Source organism: Homo sapiens, chromosome 17 (assembly GCF_000001405.40).
Source record: "Homo sapiens chromosome 17, GRCh38.p14 Primary Assembly".
NCBI classification, from domain to species: domain Eukaryota; kingdom Metazoa; phylum Chordata; class Mammalia; order Primates; family Hominidae; genus Homo; species Homo sapiens.
In genome coordinates this window covers 15,591,025-15,612,847 of record NC_000017.11, presented here as the reverse complement: position 1 = coordinate 15,612,847, position 21,823 = coordinate 15,591,025, and the positions used below count along the sequence as shown (strand labels likewise).

The following is a 21,823-nucleotide window of genomic DNA, read 5'->3' as shown; positions in this document are numbered from 1 at the left end:
TTTGGTTTTTTTTTGTTTTTCCAGGGGTCCTATACAAGAGGAATTGATCCTAATTATGCCAATAAGGTTTCTATCCCAGTTCCTAAAATGGTAGATGACGGGAAGAGCATGCGTGTGAAACATCCGAAGTGGAAGTTGAGAACGAAGGTGGGTTCCAACAGCATCTGGGGCAAGTAGCTGTGAGCGTCTCATTCTAATTGCCATTGAAGGCTGAGGTCCAGACTCAGCCCTGGAGTGAGGACAGAGGATCACGGCAGGTGACACTCCTTAAGGAAGACGAGAGTTCTGTGTTGCTACTGACTTGCAAGACACTTCCTCTTTTTTTTTTTTAAATGAGATGGAGTCTCACTATGTCACCCAGGCTGGAGTGCAGTGGCACAGTCTTGGCTCACTGCAAGCTCCGCCTCCCGGGTTCACGCCATTCTCCTGCCTCAGCCTCCTGAGTAGCTGGGACTACAGGAGCCCGCCACCAAGCCCGGCTAATTTTTTGTATTTTTTTTTTTTAGTAGAGGCGGGGTTTCACCGTGTTAGCCCCGATGGTCTTGATCTCCTGACCTTGTGATCCGCCCGCCTCGGCCTCCCAAAGTGCTGGGATTACAGGCGTGAGCCACCGCGCCCAGCCCGACACTTCCTCTTCTTAAGCCTTGCTTTACTCATGTGTTGGATGGGTGGATTGATTTGGTTGTCTTCTCAGGGTTCTTCCTTACTTCAAAGCCCCTGGCCGTGTTTTGTGTCCATGGCACCAGGTCATTTAGTGGCAAGTTCAGAGGCCAGGAGCAACCCCATCAGCCCATGCCTCTGGAGGATCCAGCATCTGCTGCTCAGGAATTTGAGGAGGACCCGAGGGGAGGGCCAGGGCTGGTTCCAGAATGCCTAGGGCCTAGATGAATTTGGCTCCCTCATCCCTCACTTTCAGGTTTACTCTGGCTCTAGGATGGAAGGGGAAAGTTAATTAAATATAGCCCTTTCCACTAGTTCTTGGGCAATAATGAAGAGTGACCGGAAGACTCTTCGAGCTCTTTGCTTTGACTATCAAGGCATGGTTGATATTCCTAAAACCATTAGATTTCTGCGCCCCCCCACCTGCTTAAAGTCTATTTTGAAGTCTATTTAATTGGCCCCAAAAGGATAGTTGATGAGGGATGGTTTGACTGTCGCTTCCCATAAGGCAGCTATGTTAAATTAGAATTTGAGAAACAGAAGCATCCAGAGAGAGCATCTAGTTCATATGACCTGTAGGGGCCAGGCAGGTGACACAAAGGAGGAGACGGGTGGTGTGGGGAGTAGCGGACGGTGTGGCTGTCATGGACTGGACAGTTCACCTGCATCTGAAGGGCCAGCTGCTCATCAGTTCTGGCTAATTATTGTCTTGAGAGATTGTCTTGAGGCCCCTGACCGCTAGACCATCTAAGTCTTGGAAGATAGAAACCTGAGGTATTATGTGAAATCTCTTGCTTTTATTAAATGCTGGCAACCATTTAAAAGCAGTTTTAAAAACTACATAGGCCAAAGAAAACACATTTCTGGGCCAGGTGCAGCGGCTCACGCCTGTAATCCCAGCACTTTGGGAGGCCGAGGCGGGCGGATCACGAGGTCAGGAGTTTGAAACCAGCCTGGCCAACATAGTGAAACCCTGTCTCTACTAAAAATACAAAAAATTAGCCAGGCATGGTGGCAGTGCCTCTAGTCCCATCTACTCGGGAGGCTGAGGCAGGAGAATGGTGTGAACCCGGGAGGCGGAGCTTGCAGTGAGCCGAGATTGCGCCTCTGCACTCCAGCCTGGGTGACAGAGTGAGATTCCATCTCAAAAAAAAAAAAAAAAAAGAAAACACATTTCTGGATTTCCTTTGACCTGCAGTTTTTCATTTCTGAGCTGGTCCCTTCACCCATTTTATAGATAAAGAAACTGAGGCGCAGAGAGGTCAAGCTCTCCCAGCCAGCTGAGTGAAAGAGGTATTCATTTGAACGTGGACCTGCTTTTGTTTTCAAGTCTGTTGCTGTTTTAAGTATAACACAAAGAACACCCTTCTTCCTTGGGTGATACAGTCAGTAATGGCCCAACAGAAGGACTACCCAGCCAGTGTTTGACATTCTAGGAAGTTTTGACAGAACTGGACTGTATTGACAGAATTGTACTGTCATCTTGGACAAACACCGCCACTTTAAGTTCCAGGTCCCTTTCTAGTCTCATGAATTTCAAGGAAATCTCTTCTAACTACAAGCAGCCAGAAAGAACAGACAGTAAAACACAGATAAGACATCTAGGGCACAGAGGGATGTGGGGGGAAAGTCTCTTGGGTAACTACCAAACTTCACCCTCATACAGTGGGCCCAAGTAAAACAGTGGGCCATCATGAGCACATTCCTTTCCATTCAAGTGCACTAAGATAGTGAAGCTAAAGCAGACTTGGGGGTATGCCTGCAGCTGCAGAAAGATGTATGGGGACAGACACACAACTCTCCCTCCCAGATAAGCACAACAAAGAGACACAGAAGCAGTCCAAGCATCTGATAAACTCTCCCACCCTGAATCCTTAAAGACTCTTAGTCTGTAAGAGAGTGCGGCTTCTGATGTAACTCGGTCAGAATTCCCTCCCAGATTTGAAATAAACCTGTTGACTGTCAAGCCACCCTTCGCCTTTCTCTCCTCTTTCTTTAATTCTTACATGTGTAATTTAAGAAAAGGGGCCAGGCGCAGTGGCTCATGCCTGTAATCCCAGCACTTTGGGAGGCTGAGGCAGGTGGATCACCTGAGGTCAGGAGTTCAAGGCCAGCCTGGCCAACATGACAAAACCCTGTCTCTACTAAAAATATAGAAAATTAGCCAGGCATGGTGGTGCATGCCTATAATCCCAGCTACCCGGGAGGCTGAGGCAGAAAAATCACTTGAACCCAGGAGATGGAGGTTGTAGTGAGCCGAGATCACGCCACTGCACCACTCCAGCCTGGGCAAGAGAGCGAGACTCCATCTCAAAAAAAAAAAAAAAAAAAAAAAGAAAGAAAGAAAGAGAGAGAAAAGGGAGAGAAGCAGAGAAGCAGGTGAAACAGTATGGAGAACACATGAAATAGCAAGACTAAGCAGTTACAGAGTCTCCTGGGAAAAGCGGAGGTGAGTGCTTCTCAGGGTGGTGAGTAATAGCATGAGTATAAACTGTGTGCCTGATGCCCGTAGCTCTGCATACAGCATTTACTTGATTTCACCATAGATCGAGGAGGTGTTGTTGCTCCCAGTTTATGGATGTGGAAATGAAGGATATGGTGTGAGAAAGTGGCCGAGGTCTCACAGCTGGGCAGTGGCAGAGCTGGAATTTAAACTCAGGTCTTTCCCTTCCCAATGACTCCACCATGTGGCTTCTTGGGCTCACAAAACTTAGGAGATGAGCAAGGGCCAATGAATTCTCACCTGGGTTGGGAGAATCCAGGGCGGCATTATTTAATTCAGGCTGGGATATGGAAAACTCCCTGGACACTGGAGGGGAGGCAGGTTGGCAGATTCTTCTGAGCAGAGATAGACTACATGGTTAAAGATTAAGAAGGAGAGGGAGCAGAGGAAAGAGGGCATCTGAGGAAGAGTCTAAAGGCATGGAGCAGAAGGCTAAGGTTTGGAAGGAGACTTCAGAGATGTCCCCAAGAGGACTCTCAGGTGCAAACATGATGCTGTGTTCTTCTTTGCCTTCAAGATAAATATATTCTGCTTTTTCTTCCTGCTAGTCTAATGGGACTGTTATTTCTGGCTATTTGAGGATAGAATATGGCAGGGAATATAAATGGAACTGAGAGTCTAGTTCAGTCATCTATGCCAGAATTTAGCATGTCTGGAATGCCAGAAGGTGTGTGATAGAGGAAGCAAAGGAGGGAGGGAAGGAGGGAGGACGAATGAAGGCAGGCAGGCAGGAAGGAAATAAAGAAAGACTGGGAAGCAAATGAAAGCGCCCCTGTCAAGACTTGATAAAATGATTTCCTTTCCCTGAGTCCCAGATACCTTATCTGTAAAATAATGAGAACATTTTGTGGGGCAAGTGATCTACTTTGTAAGGCAGCTACAAGGACAAATGAAAGTTGCAGATGTATGAAAACTTTGAAATGCAAATGCAGGCTGGTCGTGGTGGCTCACACGTGTAATCCCAGCACTTTGGGAGGCTGAGGCAGGCAGATCACGTGAGGTCAGGAGTTCGAGACCAGCCTGGCCAACGTGGTGAAACTCCGTCGCTACTAAAAATACAAAAATTAGCCAGGCGTGGTGGCACATGCCTGTAATCCCCACTACTTAGGAGGTTGAGGCAGGAGAATTGCCTGAACTCGGGAGGCGGAGGTTGCAGTGAGCCAAGATCATGCCATTGCACTCCAGCCTGGGTAAGAAGAGTGAAACTCCGTCTTAAAAAAATTGCAGCCGGGCCTGGTGGCTCACGCCTGTAATCCCAGCACTTTGGGAAGCCGAGGCAGGCAGATCACAAGGTCAAGAGATCGAGACCATCCTGGCTAACATGGTGAAACCCTGTCTCTACTAAAAATACAAAAATTAGCTGGGCATGGTGGTGCACGCTTGTAGTCCCAATTACTCTGGAGGCTGAGGCAGGAGAATCACTTGAACCCAGGAGGGCGGAGGTTGCAGTGAGCTGAGATTGCACCACTACACTCCAGCCTGGTGACAGAGCGAGACTCCGTCTGAAAAAAAAAAAAAAAAATGCAAATGCATAGCATAGCATGTGTAGCAGTAATTTCACAGTTGGCTTAAAATCCCCTGAGTGTGCTTTGTACTATCAGGTAGATGTAATATACATATGACGTTCCGACTTCTGTGAAATGGTCGGTCAAAGGGCACCTGTGACTTTATGTTGTGAGGATACCCTTTGTGAGCTGATTTTTGAAAAAGTTGTGTTATTGGTGACATTTGGAATTCAGCCTTGAAAGTTCATGGAATCAGGGCACATGGAAAATCAAAGAGATGAAAGAAGAATTAAGAACCTTGACCCAACATTTTCTAACTCATGGTTTCCTTTGGTGCTTGCTCACTGGCTGCTCCCTTCTCTGCAGAGCAGCAGCCTCAGCCTTCAGAGGAAGAATCTGTGAGCCCTGTGCCCTTACCAGGGAGACCCTAGGGGCTCTGGGACTGTGGGTATTTGAAGTTACCACTGAGCTTTAACTTCAAATATTCCCTTGTTAGAATGAGTACAACCTGTGGACTGCATACCAGAACGAGGAAACGCAGCAGGTCCTGATGGAGGAGAGAAATGTTTTCTGTGGGACCTACAATGTTCGCATTCTCTCTGACACGTAGGTACTGGGGTCAGAATCTGGGTCTCTAGGGACGCTTGAGTTATCCACACTGACATTTGGGATTTCCCTGACCTTTGTGTACATGGAAAGGCAAGCTCTCCTCACCTCAAGCTCCAGCCCTAAACTCGCACATGATCCCATGTAGACAATACCTGCTTCATTTTGCACCATTCTTGGCAGTGGGTAAAGGACACTTTCCCTTTCTAAATTTTGGGTATGCTGACCAACAACTTTTTGCACAAGTCACACATAAAATCTTTATTTTTTGAAATATCTTTATTTTGTTTTATTAATTTTAGAAATAATATACGGTTATTGGAAAAAATCTTTCAAATGCCAGAAAATGTATAGAGAAAGGCAAAGTTTTCCTGTAGTCTATCACCTAGCAATAACCACCATTAATATTGATGTCTACCCTTCTAGAATTCTTTTCTTTGCATACTTAGCACATATTTTAGTAGAAGTGGTGTTATATTACACATATTTCTGTAACCCAGCCCAGCAAAGTACTATAGATATCTTCCCATGGTAAATATGACAATCGTATTTATAATTGCATACTCTGACATCATTTCAATATGCCGAGAGACGAAGGTCCTTTAATAAGCAACTTTCTGCCATATTTTAGGCCTAGGACTTCACTTTATATTCACAAGGTTTTGCAAAGTCCACTTCTACTTTATTTTTGGCCATGAATCTTATTAACAAATTGCATCTTGACAATAGAACAGTCAGTATGGGGAAGACAGAACAGATAAGATAGGGGAAAGGCAAAGTTGAATTTTTATGCTTAGTGTGGTGATAACTGCTCTTTAGAAGAGATGGTGACTAGTTGAACTCTAGGTATGACAAACGGAATAAGGGCAAAAATATCAAGAATTGCTCCTTATATATATGTGTGTACATATACACACACATATATATATACACATATACATATATGTACATGTATATATATATACATAAAAATATATGTATATACACACACACATATATATGTAGTTTAAAGAACAATTATCACCATACTATCCATATTTCTTTTTTCAGAGTGAATCTCATTCTGTCGTCCAGGCTGGGCTGCAGTGGTGCAATCTTGGCTCATTGTAACCTCCACCTCCTGGGTTCAAGCGATTCTCCTCCCTCAGTCTCCTAAGTAGCTGGGACTATAGGCACATGCCACCACGCCTGGCTAATTTCTGAATTTTTTTGTAGAGACGGGGTTTCGTTCTCTGGTCAGATTGGTCTCAAAGCTCCCCATATTTAGAGTGACTATACATCCCTGCTTATTGGAACAATCCCTCTCTAGTCTGCAGTCCTAGTGTCATTAATAATAGTGTCCCCAGGTTGGGCGTGGTGGCTCATGCCTGTAACCCCAGAACTTTGGGAGGCTGAGGTAGGAAGATCGTTTGAGGCCAAGAGCTGGAGGTTACAGGGAGTTATTATTGTGCCCCTGTACTCCAGCCTGGGTGACAGAGCAAGACCTTGTCTCTAAAAATAAATAAATAGTGTCCCCTTTCACAATAAAAAACTCTCAGTTTGGACAATACATTATTTGGTCATCCTGTTCATACTTTACCTATTTGCTAATAATCCTATGATTGAAAGATTAATTCAACTCACCTAGTTTTATGGGACAATAAGCTCATTGTAAGTAAGGTCCTTATCTGATAATTATTTATATTTCCTGTGATATCTACTAGCACAGGACTTTGAACCTAATATATGGTCACTGGATATTGATTAAGGGAAAAAACAAAAGAAAAGAAATACAGTGTGCACAGGACTTCCCAACTGTGTTCCTCTGATGTTTTCCAAGAAAAAAGGTTTCCGTGATCAATTAAATCCGGGCAATGCCACATACTCTGTTCTCTCTCTTGGGGATTTAGCATACATTTACAGAATTGTTAAAAAATTGCCTTGTGTCTCTAGTTTTTAAATTTAACGGAAATGGATTTTTGTCATCGTATGAGAGTGGGGATCCCTCAGAGCCTGTTAATTCTCAACCTTGCCTTCTGCTGCCTCCCTTGTTGAAAGGCCCTGGATTTTCCTTTACACCACTGCTGTAGGCAAAAGTCATGGGGCTAAGTCAGTCCCAGGAGGGACACTGACTCTTCTTTCATGGATAATCCTTTTCCCCTGGCACTCAGGTGGGATCAAAACCGAGTCATCCACTATTCCGGGGGAGATCTGATAGCTGTGTCATCTAATCGAAAGATCCATCTTCTGGACATCATACAAGTGAAAGCGATACCCGTTGAATTCCGAGGCCATGCTGGGAGTGTCCGGGCCCTCTTCCTGTGTGAGGAGGAAAACTTTCTCCTAAGCGGGAGCTATGACCTAAGTATCAGGTGAGGAGTCCAAAGACATCATGATCCCTGTCCCACCTAGGGCCTAGAGGCAGCTCATGGAAGAAGTGTGCATGCTTCTTCTTTTTATAGTTAACAGTTTTCCTAGAAGATACTGACTTCTAGAATACCTTCAGCTTATTTTTTTTTTGGCAAGGAAAAAGTCAGGAATGTATATATTGCTTAACATTTGAATGAGATGGATTTATAACAGTTATCAGATATATTTTCTAATTGATGACTGCAAATCAGAAAAATTTTCTTTATTAGCATTCTTAGAGGAAGAAATAATTTACATTTGTTCTTACAGATTCTTTCAGGGGAACGTGGTTTTTTATGGGTTTGAGACAGACTATAGAGGCAAAATAGTGCTTTAAAAACACATATGTGGCCAGGCGTGGTGGCTCACGCCTGTAATCCCAGCACTTTGGGAGGCCGAGGTGGGCGGGTCACGAGGTCAGGAGATCAAGACCATCCTGGCTAACATGGTGAAACCCCGTCTCTACTAAACAAAATACAAGAAATTAGCTGGGCGTGGTGGCGGGCACCTGTAGTCCCAGCTACTCGGGACGCTGAGGCAGGAGAATGGTGTGAACCCGGGAGGTGGAGCTTGCAGTGAGCCGAGATCGCGCCACTGCACTCCAGACTGGGCGACACAGCAAGACTCCATCTCAAAAAAACCCAAAAACAACCACATATGTATATTTTTAAACAATATAACAAACACTCATGCGTCCATTACTCAGGCCAAGAAATAAGATACCACCATTCCCTAACCCTCCCACTGTGCCCTTCTCTTCTTGCTTCTTCCTGCCAACCAGAGGTAATATTATTCTAATTTTATACTAATGATTCCCTTGCATTTCTTTATCATTTTTGCTTCCTTCTTATACATCTCCAGAAGTATTAGTTACTTGTGCCTGTTTTTGAACTCAACATAAAAAGAATCATATTTTAAAAATTTGTTGGTACCTCATTCTTACATGGAACTATGTTTTTGAGATTCACCTATATGATGCAGGTGGCAGTAATTAACTTATTTTCACTGAGATACTGTATTAAATTGGATGATTGTATCATAACTCATTTATTTGTTTTTCTGTTGGTGGACATTTGCATTGTTTCTAGTTTTTGTTTTTTTTTTTTGAGATAGAGTCTCACTGTGTCACCCAGGCTGGAGGGCAGTGGCGCCATGTTGGCTCACTGCAAGCTCCGCCTCCCAGGTTCACACCATTCTCTTGCCTCAGCCTCCCAAGTAGCTGAGACTGCAGGGGCCCGCCACCACACCAGGCTATTTTTTTTTTTTTTGTATTTTTTAGTAGAGAAGGGGTTTCCCCGTGTTAGCCAGGATGGTCTCGATCTCCTGACCTCATGATCCACCCGCCTCGGCCTCCTAAAGTACTGGGATTACAGGTGTGAGCCACCGCGCCCAGCCCTTGTTTCTAGTTTTTAATTATTTCAAAGAATGCTGCCAGAGACGGGTCTTGGATGTGTCCCCTGGTGCCCATGTGCATGAGTTTTTTAAAGGTATATTCTTAGTATGGGAATTTCTAGGAAGGAGTACTAAACTGTTTTCCAATGTGGTTGTATTAATTTACATTCCCATTGGCAGCATATGAGAATATCTCTTCTTATATATTCTCACCAACACTTAATATTGACAGTCTAACAGTTTTGTCAATCTGATGGGTATTAAATAAAACCCACTGTGTTTTATTGGGGTTTAAATTTTAACTTTCCTGATTACTAATGAAGTTGAACACCTTTTCATATGTGTATTAGTCAGGGTCTCCAGAGAAACAGAACCAATACAATGTGTATATACATAGGAGATTTACTATAAAGCATTGACTTGTGTGATCAAGGTGGCTGGCAAGTCCAAAATCTGCAGTGTGGGGCCAGCAGGCTGGAGACCCAGGAGAGCCAACGGTGCAGATGAAGCCCAAAGGCCATCTGCTGGAGAATACCCTCTTGCCAGGACTATCTATTAACTTTGTTCATAGTATCTACATGAATTTTGTTGAACAAAAATTCTCAATATGGGCCAGGCGCGGTGGCTCACGCCTGTAAGCCCAGCACTTTGGGAGGCTGAGGCAGGCGGATCATCTGAGGTCGGGAGTTTGAGACCAGCCTGACTAACATGGAGAAACCCCGTCTCTACTAAAAATACAAAATTAGCTGGGCATGGTGGCACATGACTGTAATCTCAGCTACTCAGGAAGGCTGAGGCAGGAGAATCACTTGAACCTGGGAGGTGCCACTGCACTCCAGCCAGGGCAACAAGAGCAAAACTCGGTCTCGCCGGGCGCGGTGGCTCACGCCTGTAATCCCAGCACTTTGGGAGGCCGAGGCGGGCGGATCACGAGGTCAGGAGATCGAGACCATCCTGGCTAACACGGTGAAACCCCGTCTCTACTGAAAATACAAAAAATTAGCCGGGCGAGGTGGCGGGCGCCTGTAGTCCCAGCTACTCGGGAGGCTGAGGCAGGAGAATGGCGTGAACCCCAGGGGGCGGAGGCTGCAGTGAGCCGAGATTGCGCCACTGCACTCCAGCCTGGGCGACAGCGAGACTCCGTCTCAAAAAAAAAAAAAAAAAAAAAACTCGGTCTCAAAAAAAAAAAAAAATCTCAATATGAATGTAATAAAATATCAGTTTATCAGGGTTTTTTTTTTCCTCATTTCTGTGATTCTTCCCTCTTCTAGGTCACAGAGATATTTTCTAATATTTTCTTCTATCAACATTACAGTTTTATCTTTTGCATTCAGTTTTTTAATCTATTTGCAATTCAACCTTGTATGTGGCGTTAGGTAGAGTTTCCATTTCATTTATTCATAAATGAATAATGTGAGCAGTTTCTCCCCCACAGCAACTACTATATAACCTGCCACTTCCTCCATTGATTTGAGGTGCTATCTTTATCACATGGAAATTTCCCATATGTGCATGAGAATGTCCCTGAGCTCTCTGATCTAGTCCACTGTCTTTCTGTTTTTAATCAAAATCCCCCTCCTTGAAAACTGTTTGTTTTGTTTTTAGGTATGCATTTGGAGAATGTTTTAAAATGTGACTGGGAGGGAAATTCTACTTTTCACTTTTCTTTTTTTTTTTTTTTTAAGACGGAGTCTCGCTCTCTCGCCCAGGCTAGAGTGCAGTGGTGCGATCTCAGCTCACTGCCAGCTCCGCCTTCCGTGATCATGCCATTCTCCTGCCTCAGCCTCCCGAGTAGCTGGGACTACAGGCACCCGCCACCATGCCTGGCTAATTTTTTGTATTTTTAGTAGAGACAAGGTTTCTCTGTGCTAGCCAGGATGGTCTCGATCTCCTGACCTCGTGATTTGCCCGCCTCGGCCTCCCAAAGTGCTGGGATTACAGGCATGAGCCACCGCGCCCGGCCTCACTTTTCTTTTTTATGTAACAGCTATAGTATATAAGTTTTGAGTTTTTGGAGTAAGTTTACCAACTTTCAATAAAACCTAACTAGACTTTTTATTTGGGCTGCATTGAATTTATAGATTAGTTTGGTAAACACACTCAATTAGATCATCTGTGTTCTTTCTTAGAGCCTTAAAGTTTTCTTCATAAAAGTCCTGTGTATTTTTACTTAATGCTGTACACGTTATAATTTTATTACTATTGTGAATGGTATCTTAATTTTGCTTATATTTTCAAATTAGTTATTGCTGGCATAGAGAAATGCAATTGATTTTTGTAAATTGATCTTGTGTCTGGCATCCTTGCCAAACTCTCTTATTAGTTCTAAAAGCATGTATGTTTCATAATTGGTTTTTCTTTCTCTTTTTTTTTTTTTTTTTTTTTGAGACGGAGTCTTGCTCTGTCGCCCAGGCTAGAGTGCGGTAGTGCGATCTCAGCTCACTGCCAGCTCCGCCTCCTGGGTTCACGCCATTCTCCTTCCTCAGCCTCCCGAGTAGCTGGGACTACAGGCGCCCACCACCACGCCTGGCTAATTTTTTGTATTTTTAGTAGAGACGGGGTTTCACCGTGTTAGCCAGGATGGTCTCGATCTCCTGACCTTGTGATCCGCCCGCCTCGGCCTCCCAAAGTGCTGGGATTACAGGCGTGAGCTACTGCACCTGGCCAATAATTGGTTTTTCTATGTAGACAATCCTATCAACTGCAAATGACAATATATTATCTTTTTTTTTTTTTTTTTTTTTGAGATGGAGTCTCGCTCTGTTGCCAGGCTGGAGTGCTGTGACGCGATCTCGGCTCACTGTAACCTCCGACTCCCTGATTCAAAGGATTCCCCTGCCTCAGCCTCCCGAGTAGCTGGGACTACAAGCATGTGCCACCACGCCTGGCTAATGTTTTTTTGTATTTTAGTAGAGACGAGGTTTCACTCTGTTGGCCAGGATGGTCTCAATCTCCTGACCTCGTGATCTGCCCACCTCGGCCTACCAAAGTGCTGGAATTACAGGCATGAGCCACCGCGCCCGGCCGACAATATATTATCTTCTTTTCTAATGCCTATACCACCTTTTGTTTTTCTTTTCTTCTAACTTTGCCTAGGCCTTCCAGTGCTGTGGCAGGCAGTAGCAGTGAGAGTGGGCATCTTCATCTTGTTCCCCTTCTGGAAGGGAATACATCTACAGTTTCTCCACTGAGCATAATACCTGCTGTTATGACTTTGGCTTATACCTTTTACTAAATCTGGAAAGTTCCTTCTTTTCCTATTTTTCTAAAAGTATTTATCAAATACCTTTTCTTGCATAAATTTAAAAAACCAACCTGAAGACATATACCACCATATTGCTAGAAACAGAAATTCAAAACATGCTTTCTTTCAGAGCACTGTGCCATCATTCAATGCACTGTGGCTGCATTGTAGGCTCTGAGAAACTGGTAAGGCATTGGTAAGGCTGCAAAACCCTTGGGAATATTAGAAGAAAAAGCTTTAACATATCCAAAAAACTACAAAGACATATTAATCGTTTTTATGTGCCAAGCCTCACAATAACTCTGTGAAGTAAGTACATTTTTTTTTTTTTTTTGAGACAGAGTCTCGCTCTGTCACCCAGGCTGGAGTGCAGTGGCGCCATCTCGGCTCACTGCAAGCTCCGCCTCCCAGGTTCACGCCATTCTCCTGCCTCAGCCTCCCGAGTAGCTGGGACTACAGGCACCTGCCACCACGCCCGGCTAATGTTTTGTATTTTTAGTAGAGACGGGTTTTCACCATGTTAGCCAGGATGGTCTCGATCTCCTGACCTCGTGATCTGCTTGCCTCAGCCTCCCAAAGTGCTGGGATTACAGGTGTGAGCCACCGTGCCCGGCTGTAAGTACAATTATTATTCTCAGTTTACAGATGAAGAAACTGAGGTAAGTGGTAGTTCAGTAATTTGCCCAGAATCACACAGCTAGTAAGTGATGGCCCTGGGAATGGACTTCAGGCAGCCTTCTCCAGAACCATTATCTCAGCATTCTGCTTTGTCCTGTCTCAAAAGCAGCCTAGCTGAAGCGGAAGCATCAATGGCAGTTGAGAGACCTTGGGCAAGTGTTCTTGTTAAAAAACAGATAATTCATCTTTGCTCCCATCTATCTCTTAGATATGCCCTATATGTGCATAAATATTTTGGATCTAAGTGATTGGTAAAGGATTCTGTTGCTCTTGTTTGCAGATCCACTGTACCGTGGAATCAGTGCCATGGATTCTAAGGCTGGTGGTCATTCAGGACGCTTCTATCTAAAAACCACCTGACACTGATCAAGCATTTTGTACATGTTAGTCACTATTCCAGTGTTATCTCCACTGGTGCAGGGTTTCTCAACCTTGGCACTATTGCCATCTGGGGCTGGGAAATTCTTTACTGTGGGGCCTGCCCTGTGCAATGTAGGATGTTTAGCAGCATCTCTGGATTCTATGCACTAGATGCCAGTGGCACCTCCTTCCCGGCTTGTGACCACCAAAAATATCTCCAGATATTTCCAAATGGCCTATGGGGGTAGAAGTTACCCAAGATTGACAATCACTGTATTAGTCCATTTAATTCTTCACAAAAACCCTATGATGTAAATACTCTTTTTTTTTTTTTTTTTGAGACAGAGTCTCGCTCTATTGGCAAGCTGGAGTGCAGTGGCACAATCTCAGCTCGCTGCAACCTCTGCCTGCCGGATTCAAGCAATTCTCCTGCCTCAGCCTCCTGAGTAGCTGGGATTATAGGTGCACGCCACCATGCCTGGCTAATTTTTGTATTTTTAGTAGAGACAGGATTTCACCATGTTGGCCAGTATGGTCTCAATCTCTTGATCTCATGATCCGCCTGCCTCAGCCTCCCAAAGTGTTGGGATTACAGGGGTGAGCCACTGTGCCTGACCAACGACTCTTATTATTATTTCCATTTTATCAATGAGGAAAGGAAACTTACACAGAAATTAACTTCCTCAAAGTTACACCAAATAGGTGCTGCAGCTGGGATTCAAATCCAGGCCCCTGACTCTAAGCTGAACCATGAGAATCTGCTGCCTCCCAACTAACTAATTATCTACATGGGTTCTACGCAGTATGATCCTTTGGGCCCTCAGGAACTCTCACATTCTTTTGGCCTGATTCCTGCAGATACTGGGATCTGAAAAGTGGGGTTTGCACACGAATCTTCGGTGGTCACCAGGGGACTATCACTTGCATGGACTTGTGTAAGAACAGGCTCGTATCTGGAGGAAGAGATTGCCAGGTAAAAGGTGAGAAAGAAGTGCCTTAAATTTTCTAAGAAGTTTCCCCCGACCCACAGGTTACCAAAATGCTTTGTTTTGCTCATTTCTATAGGCAGGCACTCATTTATTCTTTATCATCCATCCATCCATCCACCCACCCACCCACCCATCCTTCCTTCCTTCCATCTATCAATCAATCCATCCATTCAACAACCGTCTGTAGAATACCTACAGCAAGCCACACACTGAGCTAAGTGCTGAGGAGAAAAAAAAAATAATAGGATATGGCCCTTTAGATATAACTTTTTATTTCTTCAAAGGGCTCATTGTCTCCTAATGGAAGCAGATACATAAATATATAGTGGGGAATATAATAAGTCCATGAACAACAACGGCTGCCATTTACTGAGTACCAGTTTTGTGACAGATGCTTAACATACATTATTTAATCCTCACTAGAGCCCCATTGATAATTTTATAAATGGGCCAAGATATATACATAAAATATAAGTGAAGGAAAGCATACTTACATAGTTAGGGCTAACCTAGCAGAAATGATTAAGCACATGGCCTCTGGATCCAGACTCCCTAGGTCCAAATCCCGGCTCTGCCACTCACCACCTGCAAGACTTGAGCAGGCAACCCAACTTCTCTATGCCTCAGTTTCCTCATCTGTGTAGTGGGGAATAATAATAGTACTTGTCTTGTGACGATGAGCATGTCACACACCTTGAGTCATCGCCGGCTGTTAGTGCCATGTAAGTGTCAACTCTGGTTGTTGTTATATTTTGTCTCAGACCACTTGTCCTGTTGCCTGAGGAAGAAGGTGCTTTTGGGGAGCACCTTTGAAGGAGACTTTAATGTTTTCATTCCTGAATTCATAGAGATCACTTTCAACATCTTCCTTTTTTATTTTTATTTTTTTTTGAGATGGAGTCTTGCTCTGTGGCCAGGTTGGAGTGCAGTGGCACAATCTTGGCTCACTGCAACCTCTGCCTCCCGGGTTCAAGTGATTCTCCTGCCTCAGCCTCCCGAGTAGCTGGGACTACAGTTGCACGCCACCACGCCCAGCTAATTTTTTTTTTTTTTTTTTTTAGTAGAGACGGGGTTTCACCATGTTGGCTAGGCTGGTCTCGATTTCCTGACCTGGTAATCCACCCGCCTTGGCCTCCCAAAGTGCTGGGATTATAAGCATGAGCCACTGGGCCCGGCATCAACTTCTTCATTTTAGAAAACCCTGTTCTGCCACCCACCCACTCTCATCCCCACTAGAATATGCCAGGCAGTTGCTCTAACACAGTCTGTGTTGAAGCAGCAGTAAACCCACCCCTAGCTGTGACCATTTCTCCATAAAATTGAAAAGTCAGATTCAGAAGTATTTAAAAATGTAAGTGAGGGTAGATGACCTTCTTTCATTTTGGGGATAGAAGGTGTGGGTCAGGAAGACAACATCTGGGAAAAATGACAACACTACATGTATGCCAAGATTTTCTTTTTTTTTTTTTAATTTTACCTGCCCCTACTCAAGCTGTATGCCATGATTTTTATGAAATCTACTCGATAGCAAGCATTTTTCAGGCTTGAGGAATCAGCTGATTAGAGATGAGCTGTCTAGCACTTGGGCCTCAAGGCTAAGTTCCAGGGCCATAGCCAAGGTCTTCTGGATTGCGGGCTCCCTCAACCACCTGTATTCAGGGCGCTCTGTGCTGTGGGCACATGAGCTGTTGGTGAGCCTGCTCTTCGGAGGTGCTAGGCCACGGGAAGTCCTTCTAGAATCTGACTTGATGGGCTCGATGAGTCTTTGCTTCTGTGATGGGGAGCAGAACTCCACTGTAACCTTTCCTTTTCCCCCTTTTTCCCCACTCCCATGTCTTCCTCTGTCTCCCTCCTTTTCAGTATGGGATGTAGACACAGGGAAGTGCCTGAAGACGTTTAGACACAAAGACCCCATCTTGGCCACCAGGATCAATGATACCTACATTGTGAGCAGCTGTGAGCGAGGGCTGGTGAAAGTGTGGCACATTGCCATGGCCCAGTTGGTAAAGGTAAGTGGGCAGTGGGCTACCTTGGCGGAAAGGGCACTGGGGAGGAGATGGGTGGGCTCCCCCTACCTAGCTCCTCAGGTCATCCTAGAGTAACTGAGTATGGCCTTCAAGAAGGACAGTCCTGAAGCTCTAAAGGGGAAGGCCCCAAAGTGAGGCATTCAGAGTCCGTGGAGGGTAGGGGCTCCACCGCCCACATCATGACCCACAGTATCATGGGGTTGGTAGAGGAAGGCTGCATTCTGACTCAGCATGAGATATGGGCTCAGGGCCTTCTAACAGCAGTGGAGGTGAAGTACCTTTTTCTCCTCCAGAGTATTGCACTCTGTAGGGCCAGGCGCAGTGGCTCACACCTGTAATCCCAGCACTTTGGGAGGCTGAGGCAGGCGGATCATGAGGTCAGGAGTTCGAGACCAGCCTGACGAACATAGTGAAACCCTGTCTCTACTAAAAAAAAGAAAATACAAAAAATTAGCCGGGCATGGTGGTGGGCGCTTGTAACCTCAGCTACTTGGGAGGCTGAAGCAGGAAAATTGCTTGAATCAGGGAGGCAGACGTTGCAGTGAGCTGAGATCATGCGTCTCAAAAAAAAAAAAAAGAGTATTGCATTCTGGCATGGGGTGAGGGGATGAACGAAGCATTTTTTCCTAAGAAGAAAACACTGGGGGATGAACAGAGAATTTTTTTTCTCCATGCTCTCTAATGAAGAGAGAACATGGATGGTCTTGAAAGTGATTGGATGGTCATGAAACATATTCTTGCTGGATCGGAACCCCTAGCCTTAGCGGGTGGTGTTGATATATGATTTGCAGCAGGAACACAGGATCACAGTGAAAAGTGGCTGGCTTGGCCTGTGGAATTTCCCCACCAATCTTGTCACTATGGCCAATCCAGCGGTTGCAGGCACAGGGATGGCCCATGTGCACTCTGGGTTCTGGCAAGGAGCTGGGATGGCACACCTTACCTTCGTCCTTCTCACAGCAAAGGACAGTGATTTCTGGCCCTCTCTAGTGCTCCAAGAAGGTAGTGTCTGCCCCAAACACAGACCCACCAGGAGCAAGGCCCCACCCTGATCCCATTCCTCCTTAACCCGAGAGAGAGCTCTATGTGGAATGGACTCCATTGGCCTTCTTTTTTTCTTTTATTTTTTCTTTTCTTTTTTTCTTTATTTATTTTTTGAGACAGAGTCTCGCTCTGTCACCAGGCTGGAGCACAGTGGTGAGATCTTGGCTCACTGCAACCTCCATCTCCCTGGTTCAAGCGAATATCCTGCCTCAGCCACCCGAGTGGCTGGGATTACAGGTGTGTGCCACCAAGCCCAGCTTATTTTTGTATTTTTAGTAGAGACAGGGTGTCACCATGTTGGCCAGGATGGTCTCAATATCCTGACCTTGTGATCCGCCCGCCTCGGCCTCCCAAAGTGCTGGGATTACAGGCATGAGCCACCGCGCCCGGCCTCCATTGGCCTTCTTAGAGCAAAAGCAGGATTAGCTCAGGTACCTACCGAGTGAATGGCAGTCACAGATTGGTTGGGGGGTGGCTTTGGGATTCATCTGAAGAAGGCTCAGCTTTGGTTCTTGGAGGAGTCACAGTCTGAGTTGAAGACAGTGGTATCTTTTCTTGCAGACTCTCAGTGGCCACGAGGGAGCTGTGAAATGCCTGTTCTTTGACCAGTGGCATCTCCTCTCAGGAAGCACTGATGGCCTGGTCATGGCCTGGAGCATGGTGGGGAAGTACGAGCGCTGCCTGATGGCCTTCAAGCATCCCAAGTAGGTGCCTGTGAAGCCCGGAGCGATGAACCTGGTGTCCTTCCCTTCCCCGTCATAGCCTAGACTGCAATCATTGGCAGACCTTCTGCTCCCTGTAGACATCGTGTTCTCTGCACCTCACCCTCTCTGCTTCCCTCCTCTTCCACCTGGGACCCATTTTTCCCCACCATCTTCTCTGTCTGACTGTTAGCCTCTTCCACTCTCCCTTGTTTTTCTTGTGAAGTAACTATAGAAACTGGGGGTTTTGAGAAGATATTGAATTTTTTTTTTTTTTTTTGAGACAGAGTCTCGCTCTGTTGCCAGGCTGGAGTGCAGTGGCGCAATCTTGGCTCACTGCAAGCTCTACCTCCTGGGTTCACGCTATTCTCCTGTCTCAGCCTTCTGAGTAGCTGGGACTACAGGCGCCCACCACCACACCCAGCTAATTTTTTGTATTTTTAGTAGAGACGGGGTTTCACGGTGTTAGCCAGGATGGTTTTAATCTCCTGACCTCATGATCTGCCCGCCTCAGCCTCCCAAAGTGCTGGGATTACAGGCGTGAGCCACCTTGCCCAGCCAATAATACTATTTTAAAAAGAATCAAAACATTAAATAATTCTCAGCATGACTATTGTATAAGTAAACTCTAGGAATCAAATTGCAAGAGACAAACATGATCATCTATATGTTAGATAAAAAAAAAAGATTGTGACATCAGCCTTTTTGTTTTGTCATCTTGTGGCCCTGTGACCTAATTGCAGGGAAAGTAGCTGCAGAATGGGAAGAGGTATGTCTTGAGAGAAGCTCACGGTTTACTTCCACAATTATAAAATGACAGCAGGCCGGGCATGGTGGCGCATGCCTGTAATCCCAGCACTTTGGGAGGCCAAGGTAGGTGGATCACCTGAGGTCAGGATTTCATGACCAGCCTGACTAACATGGTGAAACCCCGTCTCTACTAAATACAAAAAAATTAGCCAGGCTTGGTGGCGCATCACTGTAATCCCAGCTACTTGGAAGACTGAGACAGGAGAATCACTTGTGTCTGGTAGGTGCAGGTTGCAGTGAGCCAAGATCGCACCGTTGCACTCCAGCCTGGGCAACAAGAGTGAAACTCCATCTCAAAAAAAAAAAAAAAAAAGGCAGCAAACACCATTTTGAGGCCAGTTATGGCCAGTGCCGCTCAATCACACACAAAATGCTCCCAACCTACAAACAAACCCAGGCATTTTATGAGAGGATGGGTACTGCCTGCTACTCTGTTCCCTTCCAGAGAGGTGCTCGACGTGTCCCTTCTCTTCCTCCGGGTCATCAGCGCCTGTGCAGATGGCAAGATCCGAATTTACAATTTCTTCAATGGGAACTGTATGAAGGTGATAAAAGCCAATGGCAGAGGCGATCCTGTGCTGTCCTTCTTTATTCAGGGCAACAGGTGGGTGGTAGGTGTGGAGGTCAGAACTGTGAGTGATTCTGTTGGATTTTTTGATTTTTTTCCTCCCCTGGGATACCAGCCCTGGATTTGCTGTCAGGAGGAGAGAGTGTGCAATGCCTCTCTACAATTTTGGCTGGGTGGAGCAATAGTCTTGTGGTGGGGACTAACAGGGCTTTGCACAAAACTTAGTAATCAGGAAGCAATCAACTGTTCATTTTGACTTTTTTTTTTTTTGAGACATAGTTTCACTCTGTCGCACAGGCTGGAGTGCAGTGATGCGATCTCGGCTCACTGCAACCTCCGCCTCTCGGGTTCAAGCAATTCTCTGCCTCAGCCTCCCGAGTAGCTGGGATTACAGGCGCCCACCAGTATGCCCGGCTAATTTTTAGTATTTTTAGTAGAGACGGGGTTTCACCATCTTGGCCAGGCTCACCTTGAACTCCCAACCTCGTGATCCACCCGTCACGGCCTCCCAAAGCGCTGGGATTACAGGTGTGAGCCACCGCGCCCGGCCTGTTTTGACTCTTAATTCATCCTAGGTGTTTGTGGGAATTGCAGTGGGTGCAACATAACGCTTCTGTAAGGACCACAGTTCTACCAATGTGCAGCCCCTGCTTGCTCTTTGATCATGCCTTTGGCTGCCTGAGAGCTCTATCAGCTATCTTTGATGCCTCACTTCTAATGCAAAGAGACATATAGGAGAGTGGGGGGTGGCAGCAGCAGGGGGTACAGTGGGGGAAAGCTGAGCTGGTGAGCTTACAAAACCAGTACCATGACTGACTGCATTGTATACAGGACTGTGCTTTATATATGCGTAGACTCAGGGTGCTATTATATGAAAATAACCAAATAGAACTAACCTGTAAATTCTACTTCAAGCTCACTTGAGACATCTCTTAATGTCCCTAAACCATATTGCCTTCCTTTTAGTGAAACTTTATTAGTATTATTTACCATCTTAAAGAGGGCAGCCTGGTAATAAGGCTCAGTTAATGAACACTTTTCAGTCATGCTGCTAAAAAAAAAAAAAAAAAAAAAAAACTCTGGCCATTTTTTACTCACAGCATCCAAAGAAAGGTGTTTTTCTTTCGGCTTGAGTGAACGGAAGTCTAAAAGGGATTTCTTATTGGAATGACACCCCGCATTCCATTCCAGCAGTTCCAGCCAAAACAAGTTACTTTTCTAGAGAGTTTATGCTGTTGGTTAAGGTCTTAACATTGCAGCCTTTTGAAGCAGAAGGAAACCTGTATAGAGTATTTTCATTTCTTGTTTATAGTTAAGGGAAGAGCACAGAAAGGGGAAAGCCGCTTGCTTGTAAAACTGGTGGGTTAGGGAGGCAGTGCTGCGGGGGCACAGGAAGGGGACAGGGAGGGCAAGTTCCGGAGCTCTTTTGTCTATGGAGCATTAAAGTGGGGATCAGAGAAGTTAGAAATCATCTCACTTTATAAAGTATAGATGTTCTGTCTACATCTAGAGTGTGTGCAGAGATCCTGGAGTGACAGCATGGAGTGTGTGGTGTCTGTGTGGAGGGTCTATGAAGGAGAAGAGGCCTCCCCATTAGAGAGCTTTCCTCATTGCCAGCAGCAATAGTAATATTGGGTTTGGAAGCTGTGCTTCAAACAAACAAACAAACAAACAAACAAAAACACTGAATTTCAAGACATCTGTGTGCAGAGTACCTTCTTGGCACCCTAGGTACATGGCACTCACTCCAGGAACAGAAATTCATTTAAAAGCATTTTAACTTGAGGCCAGGCGCAGTGGCTCGTGCTTGTAATTCCAGCACTTTGGGAGGCCGAGGTGGGTGGATCATTGAGTCCTGGAGTTTGAGCCCAGCCTGGGCAACATGGCGAAACCCTGTCTCTACTAAAAACACAAAATGAGCTGGGTGTGGTGGTGCACACCTGTAATCCCAGCTACTCAGGAGGCTGAGGCACGAGAATCGCTTGAACCCAGGAGGCGGAGGTTGCAGTGAGCCGAGATCGCACCACTGCACTCCAGCCTGGGCGACAGAGCGAGACGCCATCTCAAAAGAAAAAAAATGATTTTAAACATGACTATTAGCAGTTTAGCCAAATCCAGACTATCCTTAAACAAATAAGGGCTCTTGTCTGAATGTGCACTCCTAAGTGAGGACTTTTGAAAAGCTCTTTTTCTCTAGCCTCCGGGGAGGCAACTCCAGCCTGCACATGCTGAGGCTCTCTTCAGGAGGAAACTGCCTGGAAGTGTGACAAGGGCCTCTAGCCCTCAGCAAGAACCTGGGCCCTAGGACAACACTGCACAACAGTGGTGACCAAGTTCTCCATGGCCTG

The 21,823-nt window shown here is 45.5% G+C and overlaps 1 protein-coding gene across 2 annotated transcripts in view, besides 3 other annotated features; it reads left to right on the top strand.

Moving 5' to 3' along the window:
* The window catches only part of FBXW10B (F-box and WD repeat domain containing 10B), a 54,223-nt gene that overhangs the window by 6,857 nt on the left and 25,543 nt on the right, over positions 1-21,823 (top strand). For both annotated transcript variants that reach the window (NM_001282540.2, NM_006382.4), the window contains exons 5-11: positions 25-147; positions 5,165-5,274; positions 7,425-7,625; positions 14,195-14,316; positions 16,186-16,334; positions 17,958-18,100; positions 19,353-19,511. In NM_001282540.2, the coding sequence (NP_001269469.1) occupies positions 25-147; positions 5,165-5,274; positions 7,425-7,625; positions 14,195-14,316; positions 16,186-16,334; positions 17,958-18,100; positions 19,353-19,511 (1,007 nt within the window). The remainder of the gene's footprint in view (positions 1-24; positions 148-5,164; positions 5,275-7,424; positions 7,626-14,194; positions 14,317-16,185; positions 16,335-17,957; positions 18,101-19,352; positions 19,512-21,823) is intronic.
* Positions 19,966-20,489: an enhancer, noted in NCBI's record as "OCT4-NANOG-H3K4me1 hESC enhancer chr17:15495673-15496196 (GRCh37/hg19 assembly coordinates)". NCBI's record gives its function as "activates a minimal SCP1, AML or CMV promoter by ChIP-STARR-seq in naive H9 embryonic stem cells {active_cell/tissue: H9 hESC(naive)}" and the evidence as "EXISTENCE:reporter gene assay evidence [ECO:0000049][PMID:30033119]".
* Positions 21,261-21,823: part of a biological region, named in NCBI's record as "proximal CMT1A-REP", that runs on past the window's edge. NCBI's record gives its function as "recombination_partner: LOC105943586".
* Positions 21,261-21,823: part of a non allelic homologous recombination region, noted in NCBI's record as "sub-region Zone 4', recombines with sub-region Zone 4 within the distal CMT1A-REP", that runs on past the window's edge. NCBI's record gives the evidence for it as "EXISTENCE:restriction fragment detection evidence [ECO:0001124][PMID:8651299]".